The sequence below is a fragment of the Homo sapiens genome, chromosome 12, assembly GCF_000001405.40.
Source record: "Homo sapiens chromosome 12, GRCh38.p14 Primary Assembly".
NCBI classification, from domain to species: domain Eukaryota; kingdom Metazoa; phylum Chordata; class Mammalia; order Primates; family Hominidae; genus Homo; species Homo sapiens.
Genome location: NC_000012.12, coordinates 110,426,456 through 110,431,736, shown reverse-complemented (window position 1 = coordinate 110,431,736; position 5,281 = coordinate 110,426,456). Strand labels below are relative to the sequence as shown.

The 5,281-nt window shown below is 49.8% G+C and overlaps 1 pseudogene, besides 1 other annotated feature; it reads left to right on the top strand.

The window, feature by feature from the left end:
- On the top strand, window positions 1,344-3,122 carry HMGA1P3 (high mobility group AT-hook 1 pseudogene 3; annotated as a pseudogene).
- Window positions 2,438-2,939: an enhancer, noted in NCBI's record as "H3K4me1 hESC enhancer chr12:110866603-110867104 (GRCh37/hg19 assembly coordinates)". NCBI's record gives its function as "activates a minimal SCP1, AML or CMV promoter by ChIP-STARR-seq in naive H9 embryonic stem cells {active_cell/tissue: H9 hESC(naive)}" and the evidence as "EXISTENCE:reporter gene assay evidence [ECO:0000049][PMID:30033119]".

Genomic DNA, 5,281 nt, shown 5'->3' with positions numbered 1-5,281 from the left:
GAGACCACCGTGTTAGCCAGGATGGTCTCGATCTCCTGACCTCGTGATCCGCCCGCCTTGGCCCTCCAAAGTGCTGGGATTACAGGCGTGAGCCACCGTGCCCGGCCCCTTTTTTTTTTTTTTTTTTAATTGTGGAACCATCATGATAGAAAACCAGCTTACTCTGGGTCCTGTTCCCAGTTCCGTTACTGCCAGCAGGGGGCGCACGGGCCACAGGCGCTGGAACTAGCTTCTGGACCATTTCCCCTTGGGACTTTATCGTGGTAGGTGTTTTGTTTTGTTATATTTTGTTTTTTAATATATGCAAGAGGACAATTTCCAAATGATTTATTATAAATTATACATGAATATAGTCTGATTTTTTTTTTTTGATAGAGCCTTGCTCTGTCACCCAGGCTGGATTGCAGTGGCGCAATCTCAGCTCATTGCAACCTGCACCTCCTAGGTTCAAGCGATTCTCCTGCCTCGGCCTCCCAAATAGCTGGGATTACAGGCGTGCGCCACGATGCCCAGCTAATTTGTGGATTTTTAGTGGAGACAAGGTTACACCATGTTGGCCAGGCTGGTCTGAAACTCCTGACCTCAGGTGATCCACCCGCTTCAGCCTCCCAAAGTGCTAGGATTACAGGCGTGAGCCACCACGCCCGGTCCAATAGTATGAACTTTAAAATACAGCTTTAATTGAAATGTAATGCTGACATTAAAAACAATTATAATGTTGACTTTTTAGACAAGGTAATTTAGTAATAGTTCTCAGATTTTTATTTTCTTCCCCTTCTTTTTTTTTTTTTTTTTTTTTTTTTTTTTTTGAGACGGAGTCTCACTCTGTCGCCAAAGCTGGAGTACAGTGGCACCATCTCGGCTCACTGCAAGCTCCGCCTCCCTGGTTCATGCCATTCTCCTGCCTCAGCCTCCCGAGTAGCTGGGACTACAGGCGCCCGCCACCACGCCCGGCTAATTTTTTGTATTTTTAGTAGAGACGGGGTTTCACCGTGTTAGCCGGGATGGTTTCAATCTCCTGACCTCGTGATCCACCCGCCTCGGCCTCCTGAAGTGCTGGGATTACAGGTGTGAACCACCGCGCCCGGCCTTTTTTTTTTTTTTTTTTTTTTTTTAAATAAAGATGGGGTCTCACCATGTTGCCCACACTGATCTCGAACTCCTGGGCTCAAGTGATCCTCCTGCTTCAGCCTCTCAGAGTGCTAGGACTACAGGCGTGAGCCACTGCTCCCAGCCTCCAGATTTTATTATTTTTGATCAAGCAACTCAACTTCATATTGTTGAATGCTGGGAACACACACACACACACACACACACACACACACACGCACACACTGAAAATAGTTCAGCCGTCCTCTAATTGGGACTCCGAGCCAGGGCTATTTCTCGCGCTGGCGCGGTTCCAAGAAGCATCCCAGCCATCACTCTTTCACCTGCTCCTTAGAGAAGGGAAGATGAGCGAGTCGAGCTCGAAGTCCAGCCAGCCCTTGGCCTCCAAGCAGGAAAAGGAGGGCACTGAGAAGCGGGGCCGGGGCAGGCCGCGCAAGCAGCCTCCGATGAGTCCTGGGACAGCGCTTGTAGGGAGTCAGAAGGAGCCCAGCGAAGTGCCAACACCTAAGAGACCTCGGGGCCAACCAAAGGGAAGCAAAAACAAGGGTGCCGCCAAGACCCGGAAAACCACCATAACTCCAGGAAGGAAACCAAGGGGCAGACCCAAAAAACTGGAGAAGTAGGAAGAGGAGGGCATCTCGCAAGAGTCCTCGGAGGAGGAGCAGTGAACCGTGCGTGCCGCCTGCTCCTCACTGGAGGAGCAGCTGCCTTCTGGGACTGGACAGCTTTGCTCCGCTCCCACCGCCCTCGCCCCTTCCGCAGGCCCACCATCACCACCGCCTCTGGCCGCCACCCCCATCTTCCACCTGTGCCCACACCACCACACTACGCAGCACACCAGCCACTGCAGGGCTCCCATGGGCTGAGTGGGGAGCAGTTTTCCCCTGGCCTCAGTTCCCAGCTCCCCCCGCCCACCCACGCATACACACATGCCCTCCTGGACAAGGCTAGCATCTCACTTAGCCGCACCCTGCACCTGCTGCGTCCCCACTCCGTTGGTGGTGGGGACATTGCTCTCTGGGCTTTTGGTTTGGGGGCGCCCTCTCTGCTTCACTGTTCCCTCTGGCCTCCCATAGTGGGGCCTGGGAGGGTTCCCCTGGCCTTAAAAGGGGCCCAAGCCCCATCTCATCCTGGCACGCCCTACTCCACTGCCCTGGCAGCAGCAGGTGTGGCCAATGGAGGGGGGTGCTGGCCCCCAGGATTCCCCCAGCCAAACTGTCTTTGTCACCACGTGGGGCTCACACTTTTCATCCTTCCCCACCTTCCCTAGTCCCTGCACTAGGTTGGACAGCCCCCTTCGGCTACAGGAAGGCAGGAGGGGTGAGTCCCCTACTCCCTCTTCACTGTGGCCGCAGCCCCCTTGCCCTCCGCCTGGGATCGAGTACATATTGTGGTGATGGAGATGCAGTCACTTATTGTCCAGGTGAGGCCCACGAGCCCTGTGTCCGCCGCCTGAGGTGGGCTGGGGCTGCTCCCCTAACCCTACTTTGCTTCCGCCACTCAGCCATTTCCCCCTCCTCAGATGGGGCACCAATAGCAAGGAGCTCACCCTGCCCGCTCCCAACCCCGCTCCTGCTCTTCCCTGCCCCTCAAGGTTCTGGTTCCATTTTTCCTCTGTCCACAAACTACCTCTGAACAGTTGTGTTGTTTTTTGTTCAATGTTCCATTCTTCCACATCCGTCATTGCTGCTGCTACCAGCGCCAAATATTCATCCTCACTGCCTCCTGTTCTGCCCACGATCCCCTCCCGCAAGATACTCTTTGTAGGGAAGAGGGGCTGGGGCATGGCAGGCTGGGTGACCGCCTACCCCAGTCCCAGGGAAGGTGGGGCCCTGCCCCTAGGATGCTGCAGCAGAGTGAGCAAGGGGTCCCGAATCAACCATAAAGGGCGTAGGGGCCACCTCCTCCCCCTGTTCTGTTGGGGAGGGGTGACCATGATTTGTCCCAGCCTGGGGCTCCCCCTCTGGTTTCCTATTTGCAGTTACTTGAATAAAAAAAAATCCTTTTCTGGAAAAAAAAAGAAAGAAAATAGTTCAGCCATCTCTCAATAGGGAATTGGATAACTAAATTATGGTCCATCCATAAAATTAAATATGGTTCAGTTCTACCTATCCTGTCATGGTAAGATATCTTAGAATACATTATTGAGTTTTAAATAAAGTAGAAGACGACCAGGTGAGGTGGCTCACGCCTGTAATCCCAGCACTTTGGGAAGCCGAGGCAGGTGGATCATGAGGTCAGGAGTTCGAGACCAGCCTGGCCAACATAGTGAAACCCCATCTCTACTAAAAATACAAAAAATTAGCCGGACATAGTGGTGGGCACCAGTAATCCCAGCTATTTTGGATGCTGAGGCAGGAGAAACTCTTGGACCTGGGAGGCGGAGGTTGCAGTGAGCCAAGATCAAGCCACTGTACTCCAGCCTGGGTGACAGAGACAGACTGTCTCAAAAAAAAGTTGAAGACAGTATTACAGTATGATCCCAATACAATGTTTATTTCACTGTATGTACTCCTGGGAAAACTAGGAGCATGTACAGCAAACTTGAATATCTTGGGGCAGGAGAGAGTACAAGACTTAGGCATTCAGAGTAGTATGTATCTGTAATTCAGTAAGATATGTGTTCTCTTAATAACCAGGAGGAAAAAAACTACTTAAAAAAAAAAGATTGGCTGGACCCGGTGGCTCATGCCTGTAATCCCAGCACCTTGGGAGGCCGAGGCGTGCGGATCACCAGGTCAGGAGATCGAGACCATCCTGGCCAACATGGTGAAACCCTGTCTCTAATAAAAATTCAAAAATTAGCTGGGTGTGATGGCACATGCCTGTAATCCCAGCTACTCAGGAGGCTGAGGCACGAGAATCGCTTCAACCCAGGAGGCGGAGGTTGCAATGAGCTGAGATCGAGCCACTGCACTCCAGCCTGGGTGATAGAGACTCTGTCTCAAAAAAAAGAAAAAAGTTGAAGACAGTATTATAGTATGATCCCAATACAATGTTTATTTCATTGTATATACTCCTGGAAAAACTAGAAGCATGTACAGCAAACTTAACAATGAATATCTTGGGGCAGGAGAGAGTACAAGACTTGTACATTCAGAGTAAAATATATCTATAATTCAGTAAGATATGTGTTCTCTTAATAACCAGGAGGAAAAAAACTACTTAAAAAAAAAAAGATTGGCTGGACCCGGTTGCTCATGCCTGTAATCCCAGCACCTTGGGAGGCCGAGGTGGGCGGATCACGAGGTCAGGAGATCGAGACCATCTTGGCCAACATTGTGAAACCCTGTCTCTAATAAAAGTACAAAACTTAGCTGGGTGTGGTGGCATATGCCTGTAATCCCAGCTACTCGGGAGGCTGAGGCAGGAGAATTGCTTGAACCCAGGAGGCGGAGGTTGCTGTGAGCCAAGATCACACCACTGCATTCCAACCTGGCAACAGAGCAAGACTCCGTCACCAAAAAAAAAAAAAAAAAAAAGATTGATAGAAAATCAAATCTTGGCTGGGCACAGTAATCCCAGCACTTTGGGAGGCTAAGGCAGGTGGATCATTTGAGATCAGGAATTCGAAACCAGCCTGGACAACATGGTGAAACCCCATCTCTACTAAAAATAGAAAAATTAGCCAGGCATGGTGGTGCACACCTATAATCCCAGCTACTCGGGGGGCTGAGACAGAAGAATCACTTGAACCCAGAAGGTGGAGGTTACAATGAGCCAAGATTGTGCCACTGCACTCCGGCCTGGGCGACAGAGGGAGACTCCGTCTAAAAAAAAAAAAAGAAAAGAAAATCTTTTATAAAAGCACGTTAGCCCAAAACAGTGTGAGGACGATGGTCATCTTGTTCTTCTTTCTTAAGCATCCTGTTTACATTCATCATTGCCATATGCCACTAATTACTGTCATATGTGTGGAAAGATTACAGTACATGGAAATACATGAACAAGATCTATGTGAACTGTTTGATTTGACGTTTTTCTTTTTCCCAAAAGTATTAGTACTGAAGACCTTCATAAAAAGTTTGGTGCTATGTCCAGAAAGGGATGTAATACTATTCCACCAAAAGGCATTTGGTTTGTTTCCCCCTTCGTTTTTGTTTATAGATGTTTGGAAGACCATGCCATTAGGAGAGTGTAATTTTAGGGCCACATCTGTTCTGTGTTGATA